Below are 21,197 nucleotides of genomic sequence, written 5' to 3' on the forward strand. Positions count from 1 at the left end.
ATATTTATACGGAAGTATAAAATAACCGTAAGACTCAATATCTCTCAGGGCAATAAGCAGAGTTACTTATTAGATATCAAGATTTGCTGTAAAACCAGTATTCAGGACAGTGTGTTATTGACATGAAATTGGAAAAAAATATACACTTTAACTAATGTTCCAGAATAGAAAGTCCAGGAACAGCTACATGTATATAGGTGATGTGGCATATAACAAAGATGACATTTCAGATCAGGGTTGGAAAGAGGGACTATTTTAGTATTTACTATTGGCTTAATGGATTATAGATTATTTAAATGGGAAAATTATTAAATTGTGCATTTACTTTAAACAATGCACAGAAATTACTTATAATTCTAGGGAGTGGTTTAATGTGTATTCATTATATTTTGTAGCTTACAATTTATATAGACATTATGCATTTACTGAATTTATCACAAATTATCTTAAATATATAAAATATCAAATTAAGTTAAAATATCATATGTGTTAATCTGTCTCCAAATTTTGGTTAAAAACAATTTCAGTATACTAACAATTGCGTAAAATGAAATTTACATCTAATTTTTTTCCATGGGGCAATTCAGACATGAGCAAATGTCATTAGTGGAGAACTTGTCAGAAGCTGATAAAACTTATCTCTTCTGAGCAGTCTCAGGAAGTCAATACGAGTAGCACTTTATTTTTCACCTAATCTAAGAATATCAGACACATATTTTCTATTAAATTGTATGAGATCTTACAACAATTGCTAAACTCTTATTAAAGTGAAATTTTATAGTTAAAAAAACACTAATTTACTTTGTAATATGTTGTCAGCCATGCATTTGTGTATGCATGCGTGCTTATAGCAGATAATTATTGAGCATTTTTCAAGTTCCAGACATGGTGCTGGATGCTAGAAATAGAGCAGTGGACAATATAGTAGAAATAAATTTAGTTAGGTGAGTAACCAGGCTCAGAAAATTTGACATTCTGGTCCCAGCTTACAACTCATAAGCAGAAGAATCAGAAGACAAATCATATATTATAATTCTCAGAACGGTGCTCTCCTTCTGTAATATTTTACTTTCCCAGAAAGGTCTATCTCTTCCTTTGGTTCCATTGACTGGTTGGGTAATGACAGAAATTGTTTCCAAAATGTTAAAATTCAATTTATCTAATATTATTGCCTCCTTATCCTGTCCCAGGAAACAAATATGAATAAATGAGGACTTTGAGTTAGAGTTGTCTTTGAGTTACAGATGATAGTGACAAGCACTCTAACAAAGATAAGAGATGGATGAGGAAGAAGAAAGCGAGCCAGCCGAGGTATCAGTGCCGAAACTGTAAAGAATATGAAAAATCTGGGCCAAGAATCTAGAATAATGCCTATGAATTGTAACTTAATTGGCAAGAAGGAAGGCACAAGGGCTTCTTTTAACTCTCTGGTGGTGAGCAACTTCTTCAATCCAGGGTCTTGGTTTTAGTCCTGACTTAGTCTCTAAGGAGCTTTGCAAATTTGCTCAGGTTTCACTGGTCATCTGGACATGCACTTTTAGTGGAGACCATTATCGTTAACCATATTTTAATTCTAGCATTGCGGGACAATGGCAATCAGAGACAGCTAATATACAGATATAGAGCCCATGAGAAATCTGTCCACTGCTGCTGAGAGGCAAGAAACACTCAAAACAAACATTCAAATGCAGTCAATAACTTTGATGATGATGAATTTGATAATGACCCGAGAATGATTCTGTGACTACTTGTGCAGCCTAGAAAAATAGGTATGAGAATTTCATTCATCAACTTACTGTTTAAGGTCCTTGACACAAGTTAGTTATTTGATTAGAATCAGACTGATTTGATTATAATCAGACTGATTTGATTATAATCAGGCTGATTTATGTTTCAAGTATTTTGTTGAAAAAAGTAAAATAATATTCTGAAAACTAAAGTCTCACTGAGGCACAAGTATTGCTTGTAAAAAAACTAGGTCTCTAGACAAAAATAGGGCATTGGAAAAGAACCCAGAATCTTATAAAATAAGAGAACCCAAGAGAACTTAAGATCTACTCACCCAAGTTCGTTAGCTCCACATACTGAAGCTAATGGACCACTTTCACACATGTTTAATGGTCACAATAAAAAGCCTGTTTGAGCATTTATTTTACTTAGACGTCAGAAAAATTTTATGTGATTAATTAAGCTATGTAGACTTAAATTATTTTCAACTTGCCTTTTTCTTGTGGCGATTGGTGACAGTAGGCACCAAGACATTAGGCAAATGGAAAACACAAAAATAATATTACTTGAAACTAATAACAGTGAAAACATCTGCTGAAATAGCCATACTATGAAATTCCACCAGGATGTTTCAATAACACTGGTAATATCAAAAAAGTGAAAGATGAAGCTAAGTAAGCTCCCTACAGATTTTCTTTCATGGAAAATGCATTGTCTGTGCAAATTTGCCTCAAAACTACCTATTTAAACACATTGCTGTCTAAAATGTACACAATTTAACAAAGTGAATACAGACATTATTAGATACTGAAAAATAATATGCAAAAACATTTCCTTTCTTACCTGTGAAAATAAGGGTGTCTTTTTCATGACACCAAAGGTCAAATTCTGGCCAGTGCTGGAAGATATATACCCACATCACTGGCATCAGCATATATCTCAGGAGAATCCCCAAATGTGTAAGAAGAGGTAATTAGAAGTGAAATCACAGTGGAGAACATTCTCAAGGGAAATACTAATTGGTTGTACTATTTTATCTTGAATCAAGATGTTAGAAAAAAATCTATATTTTATACTTCAGTAGAGCTCAAAGCAATCACCTGTTATCCAACGAGGGTAGCACTTTATACAATACTGAAAAACAAATTTAAAATAGTCTGAGGACACTTAACTTCTCATGAAACCTGAATTCAGGTAATTGTCCTTCCCATCTCAAGAGCACTACCATATTTCCTCCATTGTTTGTCCTTTATCAAGTTCACACAAGAATATGTACTAAGTACAAACTTCAATACTATTTAATCTGAATAATAAAAATATTTTTAAAGGATTTCTTCAACAAAGGGATTTGCATTTTGATGGGATGCCTAAGATATGTAAACAAATAATACTAGGTACAAATAATTTCTGGAAAAAACATGAAATGTTTTAGAAACAGATAGATGAAACAATACAACAGGAAGAGACTGATGAAGAAACAATGAAACAGGTAGAAGAGACTGGTGACTGCCAATGATGAAAGTGACTGACAGGGACAATAATCATATGTTAAATAAATGAATAACTAACATATTTAACTTATTGTTTTGATCATGTTTCCCATGTTAAAAAACTTTCATGAAATTGAGTCCACACTGGAACTCAGCATACTTGCCTCAAAATGCAATTGAGGAAAATGTATATTAAAAATAATATTTGATATTCACAATAACTCCATGAAATGGGGTTTTGCATTTGAATAAACTGATATGGAGAGGGAACTTCTCTAAGTTTACCCAGCTAACAAAATAGTAATAAAACTAGGATTCAGGCTCAGTTCTGAATAATTACAAAGCCAAATATTTTTCCACAACTGTATTCTGTTTCAACTTGAAGAGAATGTTTTATCATCAGCTTATCACATGGCATAAATCTTAGGACGGTTGGCTATGAAAAAGTGATGCACAAGAATGTACTTTTTCAAGGATTGGATATTTCGTTGTCTCAATATATACCTGTTGTCTGATTCCCACCAAACCTCTTTTCTGTCTGAGCAACAATGAGGTCCCTTTTGTTTCCTGCACCTTAAATCATGACTCAGCCCTTCCCTTGCCTCTGTCCCAGACAGCCTAGTGTAATTCTGTTCATTTTAAAATAATTTTATTACACAGTGGTTGATTTTTCCATTATAACCTTGCTATAAAGATCAAAACTAACATTTATAAAGGTGATAAAAATTGTCAGTTGTTTCCCAAATGCTATGGATAATTATGATTGCATATCAAGGAAAATACACTGCTACAAAGATTTATTCCTCACAAATATTTCCCTTAACATCTTTTACTGTAGTTCAGCATTTATTGTTATCTGTCTCTCTGCTATGAAGAATAGGATGTAGTATGTGATCTTTCCTGTCTGCTGCCAATGAAATTACTTTCTCCAATTCTTGCTCAGTTATGATTCACGTTGCTGGGCTTTCAGTGGGCCATTTATGATAAAGAACTTGAACATGGTTTTCTTAAACTAAATGATCTATTGTTCTGCCTTGAATATATGTTAGGATGGGAGAAGCGAGTATCATGGAGAGAAATCTGTAATTGGCCATAATTACAGACAAAGGTAGAAAGTGGAAGGGATTGTTCTCACAGTTTCAAAAAAAAAATGGGCATCCTCCCTTTATAGAACACTATCTTAAGGTGGTAAAAATATAAAAACAAAAAGATGTGGTCCTTTCCTTTGAGAACTTGCTAAAATAGTGGAAGGAACAGATTTACATGCATATAATTATAGAACCATGTTATGAATGCAATAATATAATTGTGAATCTGTGGGTGAATCATCATGTGGTACCTAATGAGAAATACAAATAAAATCCTAACCCCTGAATCAATTGAACAGACTGCCTCTTGGTCAAGGAAACCTCAGAAAAACTTTAAAATCTGAGTTCCTGCCATGACAGATGGGAGATCAGACATGCCTCGTTATCTCCCCTCCCTTGCTAAACACCATTAGGCTTCCTACAATAAGGGTTAAACAGAAACCTGCCCTTGTGAGACTCGCACCACCACTGATATCTGCAAACCACCTGACACTGGACTTCTCTTTTTGCGGTTTCAACACAGCAATTGACCAGCATTCCTTCTTGATAAGAGACCACCAATAACCTAGTGGCTCTTGCCAGTCAACAGAGGCTGTGCACAGAGGGTCTTGGTGTCTTCTGATTCACCTTTTGGTGCATAGAGTCTAATCATGACACATTTAAATGTTAAGTCCCCACTCCAAAGGGAACATGGGATGCATGTTGCTTATATTAGCCTACTATTCATGCCTGTGCCTCTTCTTTGTGAATATTCATAGTTTTTTCTATAGCCTGTTGAATATGTATTATCATATATGTGTAATATATTTGGTCATCCCATTCAGCATAAATCCCTGTCTTACTCTTCATACTGTCGAAGTGTCTCTTTCCAACTTCTAGCTGGAGGATATGCTTCACAGCCTGTCAGAACGGTCACCCTACAGGCTACAACCCTTTATGAGAAAGTCCACCTTTCTAAATTTATGAATCTCATCATTCCTCAGTTGACACTACACATCCTGAATGTGTTAAAGAAACCTTGCAGGAAGAGATAATTCTTCAGCTAAGTCTATTTTCTTGAGATAGAATTTCACTCTTGTTGCCCAGGCTGGAGGGCAACAGTGCGGTCTCGGCTCACTGCAACCTCTGTCTCCTGGGTCCAAGCAATGCTCCTGCCTCAGCCTCCCAAATAGCTGGGATTACAGGTGTCCACCAGCATGCTCAGCTAATTTTTGTATTTTTAGTAGAAACAGGGTTTTACCATGTTGGCCAGGCTAGTGGCGAACTCCTGACCTCTGGTGATTCACCCACCTCAGCCTCCCAAAGTGCTGGGATTACAAACATGAGCCACTGCACCCAGCTCTTCAGCTAAGGCTGAAATGGTAAGGGTAAAGGAAAGTGTAGAAGGGAACCTGGGGCTGAATCGTAGTATAGAGCCCCATTGATATAAGTTACTCCATCTTAGAAAATGACTTCATCTTACATTTTTAAAGGCATCATGCCAACAAGGGCCAGATGTTTTGCCTAATCAAGAAAGACTGCATCCAACCAGATAAGGACATAACAAAGTCACTCTTCCACTATCAGTTCTTACTAGAGGACTCTGTGTCCATAAAAGAGCAGGATTTCAGCAGCTTGAAACAGCCACCTTAAAAGACACCATCTTGTTATCACTTGAGATAAGCATCTTGCATTTGCCACTGAAGGCTTTGCCCACAACGAAAACTCTTCTTTACAAGGTTATTGATGGACCACCAGGGCCTGAGTAGGCTATTCTTTTTGTTCATGTCACTCTCAGTGGACTGGTTCCTTAACCCATTTCCAGTCCCTTTATTCTTGATGATAAATGTTACTTTGTTTGCTGTACAATGTGTAATCTATTACATTTATAGACTGATTAAATATACTGTAATTCATGGACTGCAATACTGACTGACTTGTTGAATGACTTGAGCCTGTTTGCCCATGGCTCTGACTACTGAGTGAACAGGAAGTTTTAAGGAGAATTGCCTCCTCGGGAACCCCATGTAGCTCATGGATTTTATGATTGAAATAGCATCAAGAAAATTCTGACATTGCAGAAAAATACAAACATGCATGGACCTAGTTATCTCTGACCTTGTGCCACTCATGATAACAGCAGAAAAGTTCATTAACTGTTCCATAAAACTCTCTTTAAGACTTTTTTCTGTCTTATTTTTGTTGAATCTCCAGTTTGTTGCATATTGTCATGTAATCAAGTTGAATGAATGAAATGCCTTAAACCAATGATTGGAATCATTATCTTCAAATAACAGCTCTGCAAACAGAGCAGAATCCAATGGGAGGACAGAGAACGTCTGAGAAAAAAATATGGAAACTATAGATCATCTATTGTGTTTGACCCTATAAAGGTGCTTTACAGTTTAGTGACAGTTTGGGGAAAAGTAGCTACTATACAAAAAGAAGAGCAAAACTGGAGGCCATTGTCAACTTTATGAAAATCCAGTAACTGTGCAAGAAGAGAATTACAATCATAGTAGTATTCATATTATTAATAATTAATACTAGTGTTAGTGATGCTCAAAGTATTATAGTATACTTCAGGTATTATTAATGATACATTCATAGTAATTTTAACAGTAGATACTGATTAAGCCAAAAATTCAAATGTGATCCTACTGTGACAATGAAGAGAAAGAAGTGATCATTGTAGGGTAAGAATGAAGTGATTGGTGAAAGAATGATGGCACCTTATCTTTAATAAACAGATGTCAATAAATTATGTGCATATTTGAAAAATCAGTACAGAGGAATACAAGCATATAATTTAAAATGGGTTAATTTCCAAAGGAAATAACAAGAAAGTATTATCTATGGGGAGTTAGTGGTAAGGTAGAAGTGAGACAGGAGTTTATATATGGCTTGTAATATTATTTGACATTTAAAACTACATACATTAATCATGAGTAGGTTCAAATGGTAATTATAATAAATAATTTTAACTGAACACACATGTGTATGTAAAAGCATTAAAAATGACTACAAGAACACAAAACAAAATCTCAAATGTGATTTCTTCAAGGTTTGTGATGTTCTCATTCTATGTTATATAATTCAGCCTGTGTGAATTTGTATAATTAATATGGCATCAATCAGAATAGGCTATTTTGTGCTAGGGAAACAAGCAAACTCCACATATCATAGTAGCTTATGAAAACGTTATTTATCAGCCGTTTTGTATTGCCATTGTGAGTCGGATGAGAACAGTGTTCCATGTCTCCTGACTGGGCAGCCACTATATTAAGTCTTGCTGGTCACCATGGAAAAAATAAAAACAACAGATCCACTCAAAAATGTTCTAACAATCAATTAAGTATTCAACTGAGAAGTGACATATGTGAATTTTAATCTCATCTTCCAGAAATAGCCACATGATCTTACCTAAACCTAAGGGCATGGAGGTACAAAGCCATTCTGTGCACGGAAGACAAAGAACTTAAAATAACTGCTGAACAAGATGAATGACAACTTAAAACATAAAAGCTTTTGTGAACAAAATTGTACGTATTTGAATTTTAGAAAATAAAGTTTTTAGACTGGGCGCGGTGTTTCATGCGTGTAATCCCAGCACTTTGGGAGGCCGAGCCTGGCCAGCATGGTGAAACCCTGTCTCTACTAAAATACAAAAAATGAGTCGGGCATGGTGGTGTGCGCTTGTGTTCCCAGCTACTCGGGAGGCTGAGGCAGGAGAATTGCTTGAACCCGGGAGGCAAAGGTTGCAGTGAGCCGAGATCACACCACTGCACTCCAGCCTAAGACAGAGAGAAACTCCATCTCAAAATATAATAATAAAATAAAAATAAATAAAGTTTTGAAAACTGCAATGTTCTCCATTGATGCACTATATTTCTCAGCTAAAGAAAAAAGTCTAGGAAGGGCTTTAGAAACCAAAAGAATACTGATTTTTAAGAAAAGTATATCTTCATTGACAGCTCTTTGATTAATGCTTCTTTTACATTTTTATTTCTAAGGCTATAAATTATAAGGTTCAGCATAGGGATTACTGTGGTATAAAATACAGCTACCATTTTACCCTGTTCAACAGATTCCTTTGAGGGGGGTCTGAGATACATGAAGAAAAGGGTTGCATAGAATATAGTGACAGCTGTCAGATGGGAGCCACAGGTAGAAAAAGCTTTTTGCCTGCCCTCTGTAGAGCGAATCTTTAAAATAGCAGGGAAAATGTAAAGGTAGGAAATACATATGATGAAGAGAGAAAAAGAAAGGTTCCAGCCAGCCACAATAAACATTGACAACTCCTTGTTGTAGGTGTCAGAACAAGCCAGCTTAATCAGTGGTGGGTCCGCACAGTAGAAGTGATTAATTTCATTGGGGCCACAGAAGGCTAGGTTGTAGGTCCACATGGTCTCCATCAGGCCAGTGAGCGCTCCATACACATAAGGCACCGTGATGAGGAAGGAGCACACACTCTTGGACATTCTGCTGCCATAAAGCAGAGGGTTGCAGATGGCCATGTACCGGTCAAAGGCCATCACAGCCAGGATGTAGATCTCAACATGGACCAAGGCGATAAAAAGGTAACACTGCACAAGACAGGCAGGATAGGAAATGCTTTTCTTCTCTGAAAGGAAAATCTCCAGCATCTTTGGAGTCACATTGGAAGAGAAGCACAGATCCACGAAGGATAAGTGGCTCAGGAAAAAGTACATGGGCATGTGGAGCCAGGCGTTGGCCTGGATGAGGACAATCATGCCAAGGTTCCCTGCCACCGTGACCATGTAAATGGCCAGAAACAGCGTGAAGAGGAGAATTTGTAATTCCCGGCGACTGGTCAGTCCCAGGAGAATGAACTCAGTCACCAACGTGCAGTTTCTTCTCATAATTTCCTTCGGTGGAAGAAAGGAACTTTACATATATATTGGATTACAATACAATAGCAACATGATTATTACTATTACAGTAATGATCTTTTACCAAAAACGTCCCCTCTTTTTGGCAGTTTTCCTCATTCTATTTCTACTGAACTTTGTTTCAGGTAAACTAAATTAGGGATATTCAAAGCAGCTCTCTACCTTTTATGATACTGCCCTTTATTTTTCTTGTTTTCTTTCCATTTTCTTTCTTTTCACTCCCTTCAAATTCAGCTTCTGTTTTTCTATTCTTCTTCTCTCGTTTCTCCTCCCCTTATTCTGCCTCTCCTTTTATTTGAGAAATGTACTTTATAGGTGGACTTGCCCCAAAACATAACATTCAGAACTAAGCAATTTCTTTTTTCCCGATTATAATACTGGGCAGAGAATGCGCGTAAAGAGAGAAAAGGACAAGTATCAAAAAGCAATATTTGCCCGAGGATCTTGTTCTTTGTGAATAGTTTTCACCAATCCGATCCCTTCCTGGAGAAGCCTGAGCAAACAGGTTGGGCTCATTTGTTGCTTTCTTATTCCTCCAGGCTCAGTGCAATAGGGATTCTCCAGGCAGGGCATGATTTTTTTCCCCTTATTTTGAAAAGTGTCTGCATATTTGCCTTTTGAGGGTTGCACAGCTATTAAATTCTCTAGCCAGTAACACTCTCTTTGAATTTTTTGGAGGAAATTTTCCATTATGTGGAGTTAAGACTCATGGAAATTCTCTCCTCTTGATCTTCCACTTCTAGTTTCCACTGAGAGACCAGATTCTCTGTTTAGAAAGGAGTAGTCAGGGCAGGTGTGGTGGCAGGCGCCTGTAGTCCCAGCTACTCAGGAGGCTGAGGCAGGAGAATGGCGTGAACCCGGGAGGCGGAGCTTGCAGTGAGCCAAGACGGTGCCACTGCACTCCAGCCTGGACGACAGAGCCAGATGCTGTCTCAAAAAAAAAAAAAAAAAAAAAAAAAAAAAAAAAAAACCATAAAGGAGTAGGCAGGGGTCAGATGTTAGTCCCTGCTTGTCTTAAGTAAGTTCATGACTCAAGGTTGCAAAATATTTTTTCATCTAATTGATTACAGTGAAGTTTGAAGATCAGGCTGATGTTGCAAAGAAACACTGATTCTGTGTGGTTTGATCTGCTCAGCCTCCACACCTGCCTAGGCTGCTATCTGTTCTCTGAGCCTGGTCTTTTAACCGCACATTGATTTAGGAGCCCTAACATCCTTTCAGAATGTTCCGGTTTTGCTTAGCATAACCAGAGCTGTGTTCTGTTACTTACAACAACAACAAAAACTGTTAACACTGATATTAATGAAATGTACCTTCTATTTTTCTATATAAAAATCATCTATATTCACAAGAACAACTTATAGAAGGTTATTTTTGAATATCTGAAACAAAGATTTTATTTGTGATTTATACAACATTGAGTAAAAGCTGTGTCTACATCTATTCAATCATAGTAGTGATGTACCCTCATTCATTTTTATATATCAAGCTCCTGTCAGATTTCACCTTTGTTTCTTTGTTTAATGTTGTTTTTGCAATAATTTATATACAGTGAAATTCACATATTTAAAGTGCCCAACTTTGTGTGTTTGACAAATGCACACATCTGGTTGACATTCTTAAGTTTTAGGACTCAACCAAACAAAAAGATGAATGCTTTGATAAAAATGCAATAGGCTTAGCATAAAATCAGTTCACAGGATCTGGAGTTAGATATTTCTGAAATGCTGCTCTATTCTTTTGACATGTTCCTTATTCTGTGTTTTAGTTTTACAACTAATTTAACCAGCACTTACATGGTGTTTCTTATAATCCAAACGCTAATCTATTTTATAAGTTTTAACACATTCAACCCTCAAACCGATTCTATGACACTCTGCCTGTAATAGGTATGGATAATAGCATATTTCCCTCATGGTTAGTACAGAAGGAAATTCCACTACGAACCATAAAGCATACTGTACTGGTAGAAACATGTGCTTTGGAGTCAACTGGTTGAGATCACACTGTGATGTCAGAACTTCTGATCTGAGTAGTCTGGGTCATATTTCTTAATAACTCTGGGCTATAGTTTTTTTCTATTACTGATGAAATTAACAAACACAAAAGTGCTATTTTTAGGATTTCACAAAATGGAGTATGTAATATGCGTAGCACTGTGCCCAATGTGTGGTAAACCCTTAATAAATATTAGCTTTCATTTATATTGAGTGAAAGATCCTAGAGCATGCCTCTTATATTTTTATGCCATTAACTTCCATCCTCATTAATCAAAACTTTAACAAATAAAAGTATCTTAAATACTAACTGTCTACATTTTTCTGGTAATTGGCATTTTTCTTTCTACCTAGTCATTTAATCATCACAATCATATATCTAACTCTGAAAATACATACGATTGTATAGCAAGTAGAGTTCCAGGATTAAAAACACATGCAGAAACTTACCTATGAATAAGGGAAGAGCTGTCCTTACAAAGAATATCAATGGCTTTTCTGGTGACAAATACAGGAATAATTTATAATATTTGTATGATGACTTTATTTCCCTAAGGGATTTCACAGATATGCAAAAATGAAGCAATTACTCTGTTAGATTTTTTTTCTCACTGAATAATTTCTCTAGAGAGATGACATTTGGCACAACACAAATTTAAAATGGGAACTCACAACTCTCTGGTCCTTCTCTGCCTTATGTTTCAGTCTCAGCATTTTCCTTCTTACATTAGAAAATCCATACAATAACATTCCTGACTGCCATGGATTCTCACATTGCCTTAGGTTTACCATGTTACTTTCAACTTAATTCAACTTTTCTGATACAGTTTCTCTCCTACCAGTGTCACAAACTTTGTGTCAAAATTCTATTAGCATTTTACATTTCTTAATCTGTGTTATGGACTGGATTGTGCCTCTTCCCTCACTCTCCAAAATTCTTATGCTGAAGTTCCAGCTCCAAGCCCCACAGAGCGTGACTGTTGGAGACACGATATCGAAAGAGAACATTTAAGTAAGATAAGGTCTAGTGGGTGAGCTGTGCCCTAATCCAATATGACTTGCATCCTTATAAGAAGAGATTAGAATACAGATACACACAGAAAAAGAAAGTGTAAAGAGGTCGGGATAAGATGATCATCCACAAGATAGAAAAAGAACTCAGAATGAAACCAGTTTTGCCCACACCTTGATCTTGGACTTCTAGCCTCTAGAACTGTGAGGAAATAAATCTGCATGTTTAAGTCACCAAGTTCATGGTACTTATTTGTGGCAGCCCTAGCAAACTAATACCCTCTGTGTACTGATGGGTAAATAGAATGCTTTGATATTGGAATGAAGCTTTACTTGCTTGAAGTCTAGTACTATTTTTATTCGTTTTTAGTAACCTTTATATTGAAGTCTAATTTACACACAGAAAGTGTGCACAAAATGTAGGCGTACAGCTTCATGAATTTTTACAAAGTGAACATACTTGTATTACTTGCCTCTAAATCCTCAAGTAGAACATTAACAGTACTGCACTATCTCTCTGCTTGCCCTTTCCTAGTCACTAACCTCAAATTAACTACATCTTCACTTTTAACACTGTACATTAATTGTGTCTGCTTTTGAGTTTTCCATAATAGAAATTATACAGTGCATATTCTGTTAGGTCTAGCCTTCCAATGAACACTACATTGGTGCTAAATATTATGTTGGTGATTTTTATTCAAAATGAGGAGTGTCATGAATATGTAAATAATTCCTTCATCTCCACGGCTGTATAGTAAGTACACCAAAATTAATAAATCCTTCCTACTATTGATACACATATAGGATACTTCCAGGTGTGGCTGTTACAAAATTCAATCTTGTGCATATCTCTTCACGAACATATTCATGTATTTCTGCCTGTTAGTACTTTGGGCAGTAGTGTTGGTTTATGGAGTATAAATATGTGCAGCTTAAATTTATGCTGCCTAGTAGTTTTCCATACTGTTTATATCCATTTGCATTCCCACTAGCATTATATGAGAGGGTCAGTTGTTCCACAGTCTCTCCAATGCTTAACAATATCAGTTTTTCTGTCATTCTGCAACATACAGACACAGATATATAGGTACAGATATATAAAGATACAGATATCTTGTAATGTACACTTCCCTAATTATTATTCAGGTTGAGCACAAAGTCATAAGTTACTTGGTTCTTTAAATATGTTTTTATATAGCACCAGTTCATATTTTGCCATTTTTTTCTGCTATCAGTTTGTTTGTTTTTTAACCGGGTGATATTTTAACACCACCAATAGCCTTACTAACTTTGAAAGGTTGTTTTTTCTTTACTCTGGGTTGTGGTTTCTTTTCTGATTTGTGAAGGTGCTGATCAAGCCCATGGAGATTTACCTGTATATGCTGAAAAAAGTGTTGGCCAGATTGAGGTTGCTGGTCAGAGGTGCTTTAAGGATGTCCTGGGCCTGGAAGAGGTGGCTCTGGGCTGGATGCCAGCAGCTGCCTACTGTTTATATCAGATCCCCACACGAGAACTTCAGGAAAAAGTTGATTGAAGAACTGAAGAGACAAGAGGTAGTCCTAAAGGGTACTTCATGAAGCAGAGCATTGGGAACTTCTGTCACACAATTAGACTTATATAAGCAGTGGCCGATAACCAAGACAAACCGAAATTTGAGGTGGGTCAATCCTAAAATATTTTATTTCTGAGGTGGAGAAAAATACCACTTGTAGACAGCACAAAATCCTTTGAAAATAATAAGACCTTTCAGGCAGTTTATGATGCTATTGCATAGCAAGGCCAATGTCAGGCAGATGACAAAGTGAATTTTTGTTTTATTCTGTTTAGCAACATGGATGGCCACCTCTCTGAACTTGATGGATGAATGCCTTTCCCAGTGAACTATGGTGCCAGTTCAGAGGACTCACTGCTGCAGGACTGTAGAGATTAGGCTGCCAAGGTCTGTAGAAAATTTACTGAGGAGGAAGGAGAGAAAGGCAGCCTCTCTGCTGTAACCCTCTCCAAGACAGTCTCATGAGAGGGACTTAGCTGTTTCTTCCTCTTCCTTTCAATGTGAAAATTTATATACCTACCTATCCACTCTAAAATGCTTCAATGCTCTCCCTCTCCCTCTCCTTCCACGGTCTCCCTCTCCCTCTCCCTCCACGGTCTCCCTCTTCCTCTCCCTCTCCCTCTCTCTCCACGGTATCCCTCTGATGCCCAGCCGAGGCTGGACTGTACTGCCGCCATCTCGGCTCACTGCAACCTCCCTGCCTGATTCTCCTGCCTCAGCCTGCCGAGTGCCTGGGATTGCAGGCATGCCCCGCCACACCTGACTGGTTTTTGTATTTTTTGGTGGGTTTCGCCGTGTTGGCCGGGCTGGTCTCCAGCTCCTGACCGCGAGTGATCTGCCCGCCTCAGCCCCCCGAGGTGCCGGGATTGCAGACGGAGTCTCACTCACTCAGTGCTCAATGTTACCCAGGCTGGAGTGCAGTGGCGTCATCTCGGCTTGCTACAACCTCCACCTCCCAGCTGCCTGCCTTGGCCTCCCAAAGTGCCCAGATTGCAGCCTCTGCCCAGCCGCCACCCTGTCTGGGAAGTGAGGAGCGTCTCTGCCTGGCCGCCCATCGTCTGGGATGTGAGGAGCCCCTCTGCTCGGCCACCCAGTCTGGGAAGTGAGGAGCGCCTCTGCTTGGCCGCGACCCCGTCTGGGAACTGAGGAGTGTCTCTGCCCGACCGCCACCCCGTCTGGGAGGTGAGGACCGTCTCTGCCCGGCTGCCCTGCCTGAGAAGTCAGGAGCTCCTCCGCATGGCCGCCGCCACATCTGAGAAGTGAGGAGCCCCTCCGCCCGGCAGCCGCCACGTCTGGGAAGTGAGGAGCCCCTCCGCCTGGCAGCCGCCCCATCCGGGAAGTGAGGCGTGTCTCCACCCAGCAGCCGCCCTGTCCAGGAGGTGGGGGTCAGCCCCTGCCCGGCCAGCTGCCCCGTCCGGGAGGGAGGTGGGGGGCAGCCCCCGCCCGGCCAGCTGCCCCGTCCGGGAGGGAGGTGGGGGGCAGCCCCTACCCGGCCAGCCGCCCCATCCGGGAGGGAGGTGGGGGGCAGCCCCCGCCCAGCAGCCACCCCGCCCGGGAGGTGGGGGGCGCCTCTGCCCGGCCCCCCCGTCTGGGAAGTGAGGAGCCCCTCTGCCCGGCCGCCACCCCGTCTGGGAGGTGTACCCAACAGCTCATTGAGAATGGGCCATGATGACGATGGCAGTTTTGTCAAATAGATAAGGGGGAAATGTGGGGAAAAGAAAGAGAAATCAGATTGTTACTGTGTCTGTGTAGAAAGAAGTAGACATAGGAGACTCCATTTTGTTCTGTACTAAGAAAAATTCTTCTGCCTTGGGATGCTGTTAATCTATAACCTTACCCCCAACCCCGTGCTCTCTGAAACATGTGCTGTGTCCACTCAGGGTTAAATGGATTAAGGGCGGTGCAAGATGTGCTTTGTTAAACAGATGCTTGAAGGCAGCATGCTCGTTAAGAGTCATCACCACTCCCTAATCTCAAGTACCCAGGGACACAAACACTGCGGAAGGCCGCAGGGTCCTCTGCCTAGGAAAACCAGAGACCCTTGTTCACATGTTTATCTGCTGACCTTCCCTCCACTATTGTCCTATGACCCTGCCAAATCCCCCTCTTCGAGAAACACCCAAGAATGATCAATAAATACTAAAAAAATAAATAAATAAATAAAGGTGCTGAGAACATAAAAAAAAATGTAAAATGCTTCAATGCCTATAAAACACAGAGTCTCTCCTTCGGCCTGCAGATATGCTCGGAACTCTACATATTATATATAATTATTGCTTTATATAATCAGTCTTTGCATATATATGTACACATACATATATATACACACATATATATGGTCTTCGAATTTTAATTTTCACACTTATTTCAATGATTAAATATCTTTATTTTATAATTTGCATCAAGTAATCCTAATATCTGTAATAAGTTGAAGGTATTCATTTGTGCTTTTTATTTCTTATTTTCCTGGAAAATGTCTGTCAATTAGAAACTTATCTGCGGGATATCTTTGAAGTCTGAGTAGTTGATAATTCATTCTCTGACTTATGTTTATATTTGCTTATTCCAGTGTCATGAGGTTTCTTCTAACCTGGGCCTCTTTATGTTTTGTTTTTTGTTTGCTTGTTTTTGTTTTTGTTTATGTTTGTTTTGAGACAGAGTCTCCTTCTGTCACCCAGGCTGGAGTGCAGTGGCTCAATCTCCACTCACTGCAAGCTGCGCCTCCCAAGTTCAGGCCATTCTTCTGCCTCAGTCTCCTGAGTAGCTAAGACTACCGGCGCCCGCCACCACGCCCTGCTGATTTTTTGTACTCTTAGTAGAGACGGGGTTTCACCGTGTTAGGCAGATGGTCTCAATCTCCTGACCTCGTGATCCAACCGCCTGGGCCTCCCAAAGTGCTGGGATTTCAGGTGTGAGCCACCACGCCGGGCCTATTTCATGTTTTTTTAGCTTCAGATTTGATAGCCCATCAAAGCAGTGTAAATATAAACGCTGAATTAATATGACCGTTAATCTATTGTCATAAATTCTTAAATAAGACTTTTTAACTCCTCCATGAAACAAAGCCTAAACGGACTAGTTTCATCCTTGTTGTTGCTGTTGTTGACTCTGTCCTACTCTAGAGGTTGCAGCCCTTCAATAATCCGAATTTCCTGAGGGCATCTCTGTTCTAATTTCTCACCTTGCACACACCTCATCATTAGTCTCTCGTCTTCCTTGTATGTGATTATATCTTAAGTTCTAGGTTACCTCTAGGGGAACTATAGGCCTCCACACCCAAAAACACACATCTTCAAGATCATTACAACCACATGTTATACCTTTTGGGTTGATGTGGTTTTAGACATGCATTGAACAGATTATCTGTTAGCCTTGGGTCTCCTTAGACAGACTTTTAGGTAACATTCAATTTAGAATCCTACTGGTCATTTATTTTTCCTCTAAAAAGCCAAGAAATAAACCAGATATGGACTGTGGAAACATAAGTGTGCCTCACTGTGGACCAAAGCATTGGTGTGTTTTAGGCTGGAGATGAGGTTGGTACAGGCAGAGGAAACAGCTGAGATGACAACTGAGTGTGCAAGGGATGAGGCTTACGTTTTAGGTTGGACATGGTAAAGTGGAATGCTGACTTCCTCTGTAAGATAGGCAAAAGTATCTAGTAGAGTTTAGCAGAAGTGCTCTTTTTTAAACCTTATTACAGGCTGGGCACAGTGGCTCACCCATGTAATGCAAACTCTTTTGGAGGCCCAGGCAGATAGATCACTTGCACTCAGCAGTTCAAGACCAGTCTGGGCAACATGATGAAACCCCGTCTCTACAAAAAATACAAAAATTAGTGTGGTATGGTGGTGCACACCTGTAGTCCCAGCTACTGTGGCAGGGGTGAGGGGTGTAAGTGGGAGGATGGTTTGAAACCCTGAGATCAAGGTTGCTGTAAGCTGTGATCATGCCACTGCACTCCAGTCCATCCTGGGTGATGGAGTGAGATGCTGTTTCAAAAAAAAAAAATAGCTTAATATATGTTTAAGAAGCAGTTTAAAACTATATGCCTAACTCCTTCCAAAAAGAAAACCCAGGTCTGGTTTTAAGGGTTTTATTTTCTAAAATACAAATTAGATTTTTTTTTATTTACATTGATTCCTCACTATAGAAATTTTTACTTTGGGGTATGGGCAGTTAAAACTATATTGATATCAAACTATCTGTTAATTGATGTAAATACTCATATTTCTTTTATTCACACTTCATAAAAATTCCCTAACCCTTCAAGGAAAATGTATAATTTTGGATAAATTTGTATTGCACTAAGCTCTATGAAAAAATTATAGGCTAAATAAAATGACAGCATGACAAAAATCAATACTGATGTTTATTTAGGAAACAATTTTCTTTTGAACAGTTCTTTGGATAAAGCCTTTTTCACATCCTTGTTCCTCAGACTGTAGATCATGGGATTAACATGGGGATCACAGTGGTATAAAGTACAGCTACCATTTGTCCTTGCTCCATGGACTCTTCTGATGGAGGTCTGAGACACATGAAGAACAGAGTTGCATAGAAAATAGTAACAGCTGTCAGATGGGAGCCACAGGTAGAAAAAGCTTTTTGCCTGCCCTCTGTAGAGCGAATCCTTAAGATAGCAGGAAAAATGTAAAAGTAGGAAATAAATATGATGAAGAGAGAAAACGAAAGATTCCAGCCAGCCACAACAAACATTGACAACTCCTTGTTGTAGGTGTCAGAACAAGCCAGCTTAATCAGTGGTGGGTCTGCACAGTAGAAGTGATTAATTTCGTTGGGGCCACAGAAGGCTAGGTTGTAGGTCCACATGGTCTCCATCAGGCCAGTGAGCGCTCCATACACATAAGGCACCGTGATGAGGAAGGAACACACACTTTTGGACATTTTGCTGCCATAAAGCAGAGGGTTTCAGATGGCCATGTACTAGTCAAAGGCCATCACAGCCAGGATGTAGATCTCAACGTGTACCAAGATGATATAAAGGTAACACTGAACAAGACAGGCAGGATAGGAAATGCTTTTCTTCTCTGAAAGGAAAATCTCCAGCATCTTTGGGGTCACATTGGAAGAGAAGCACAGATCCAGGAAGGATAAGTGGCTCAGGAAAAAGTACATGGGCGTGTGGAGCCGGGCATTGGCCTGGATGAGGGCAATCATGCTAAGATTCCCTGCCACTGTGACCATGTAAATGGCCAGAAACAGCATGAAGAGGAGAATCTGTAATTCCTGGTGATTCGTCAGTCCCAGGAGAATGAACTCAGTCACCAACGTGAAGTTCCTTCTCATAATTTCCTTCAGTGGGAGAAAGGAACTTTACATATATATTGATTGCAATACAATAGCAACATGATTATTACTATTATTACCAGTAGAGTAATAATCTTCTTACCAAAAGTTTTCCCCTCTTTTCAGCAGTTTTCCTCATTTTATTTCTAATGAACTTTGTTTCAGGTAAACTAAAGTAGGGATATTCAAAGCAGCTCTCTGCCTTTTTTGATACTGCCCTTTATTTTTCTTGTTTTATGTCCCTTTGTCTTTCTTTTCATTCCCTTCTAATTCAGCTTCTGTCTCTATTCTTCTTCTCTTCTTTCTCCTTCTCTTATTCTGCCCCTCTTTATATTTGAGAAATGTACTTTATAGGTGGACTTGCCCCAAAACATAACATTTAAAACTAACCAATTTCTTTATTCCTGATTATAATTCTGGCAGAGAATGAGTTTAGAGAGAGGAAAGAACAAGATATCAAAGAACAATATTGACTGAATGATCTTGTTATTTCTGAATAGATTTCACCAGTTCAATCCCCTCTTGGAGAAGCCTGAGCAAACAAGCGGGGCTCACTTGTTGCTTTCTTCTTCCTCCAGACTCAATGCAATAGAGATTTTCCAGGCAGGGCATGATTTGTTCCCCTTATTTTGAAAAATATCTACATATTTGCGTTTCGAGGGTTGCACAGCTATTAAATTCCAGCCATTAACACTCCACTTGAATTTTTTGGAGGAAATTTTCCAATGTGTCAAGTTGAGAGTCATGGAAATTCTGTCCTCTTGATCTTCCACTTCTAGTTTCCACTGAGAGATGAGATTCTCTGTTTAGAAAGGCTTAAGCAGGGGTCAGATGCTAGCCTCTCCTTGTCTTAAGGGAGTGAGTTAATGACTCAAGTTTGACAAAATTTTTTTTCATCTAATTCATTACAGTGAGGTTTGAAGATCAGGCTGATGTTGCAAAGAAACACTGATTCTGTGTGGTTTGATCTGCTCAGCCTCCACACCTGCCTAGGCTGCTATCTGTTCTCTAAGCCTGGTCTTTTAACCGCACATTGATTTAGGAGCCCTAACATCCTTTCAGAATGTTCCGGTTTTGCTTAGCATAACCAGAGCTGTGTTCTGTTACTTACAACAACAACAAAAACTGTTAACACTGATATTAATGAAATGTACCTTCTATTTTTCTATATAAAAATCATCTATATTCACAAGAACATCTTATAGAAGGTTATTTTTGAATATCTGAAACAAAGATTTTATTTGTGATTTATACAACATCGAGTAAAAGCTGTGTCTACATCTATTCAATCATAGTAGTGATGTACCTTTGAAGGGGTGGCCTGCCCCTCCACACCTGTGGGTATTTCTAGTTGGGTGGGATGAAAGACTGAGAAAAGAAATAAGACACAGAGACAAAGTACAGAGAAACAACAATGGGCCCAGGGGACCGGCACTCAGCATATCAAGGACCTGCACCAGCCTCTGAGTTCCCTCAGTTTTTATTAATTATTATCTTCATTATTTCAGCAAAAAGGAATGTAGTAGGAGGGCAGGGTGATAATAAGAAGGTCAGCAACAAACATGTGAGCAATAGAATCTATGTCATAATTAAGTTCAAGGGAAGGTACTATGACTGGACATGCACATAAGCCAGATTTATGTTTCTCTCCACCCAAACATCTCAGTGGAGTAAAGAATAACAAGGCAGCATTGCTGCAAACGTGTCTCACCTCCCACCATAGGGCAGTTTTTATCTGATCTCAGAATTGAACAAATGTACTATCGGGTTTTATACCGAGACATTCAGTCCCCAGGGGCAGGCAGGAGACAGTGGCCTTCCTCTATCTCAACTGCAAGAGGCTTTCCTCTTTTACTAATCCTCCTCATCACAGACCCTTTACGGGTGTCGGGCTGGGGGATGGTCAGGTCTTTCTCATGCCACAAGGCCATATTTCAGACTATCACATGGGGAGAAACCTTGGACAATACCCCGCTTTCAAGGGCAGAGGTCCCTACGGCTTTCCGCAGTGCAATGTGCCCCTGGTTTCAGACCATATTTCAGACTATCACATGGGGAGAAACCTTGGACAATACTCCGCTTTCAAGGGCAGAGGTCCCTGCGGCTTTCCACAGTGCATTGTGCTCCTG

General features: G+C 39.3%; 1 protein-coding gene and 2 pseudogenes across 1 annotated transcript; 1 reads left to right on the forward strand and 2 right to left on the reverse strand.

Annotated features, from left to right (window-relative positions):
* Positions 1 to 8,232: 8,232 nt before the first annotated feature.
* OR5M8 (olfactory receptor family 5 subfamily M member 8) lies at positions 8,233 to 9,168 on the reverse strand. Its single transcript, NM_001005282.1, has one exon. It carries the CDS (start codon positions 9,166 to 9,168, stop codon positions 8,233 to 8,235), a length of 936 nt encoding a protein of 311 aa, NP_001005282.1.
* On the forward strand, positions 13,559 to 14,211 carry LOC100128210 (ubiquitin C-terminal hydrolase L1 pseudogene; annotated as a pseudogene).
* On the reverse strand, positions 18,097 to 19,068 carry OR5M7P (olfactory receptor family 5 subfamily M member 7 pseudogene; annotated as a pseudogene).

The sequence above is a fragment of the Homo sapiens genome, chromosome 11 (assembly GCF_000001405.40).
Source record: "Homo sapiens chromosome 11, GRCh38.p14 Primary Assembly".
NCBI lineage: Eukaryota > Metazoa > Chordata > Mammalia > Primates > Hominidae > Homo > Homo sapiens.

Coding starts and splice junctions, on each gene's coding strand:
- OR5M8 (NM_001005282.1), bottom strand. CDS start 9,168: ATGAGAAGAAACTGCACGTTGGTGACTGAGTTCATTCTCCTGGGACTG.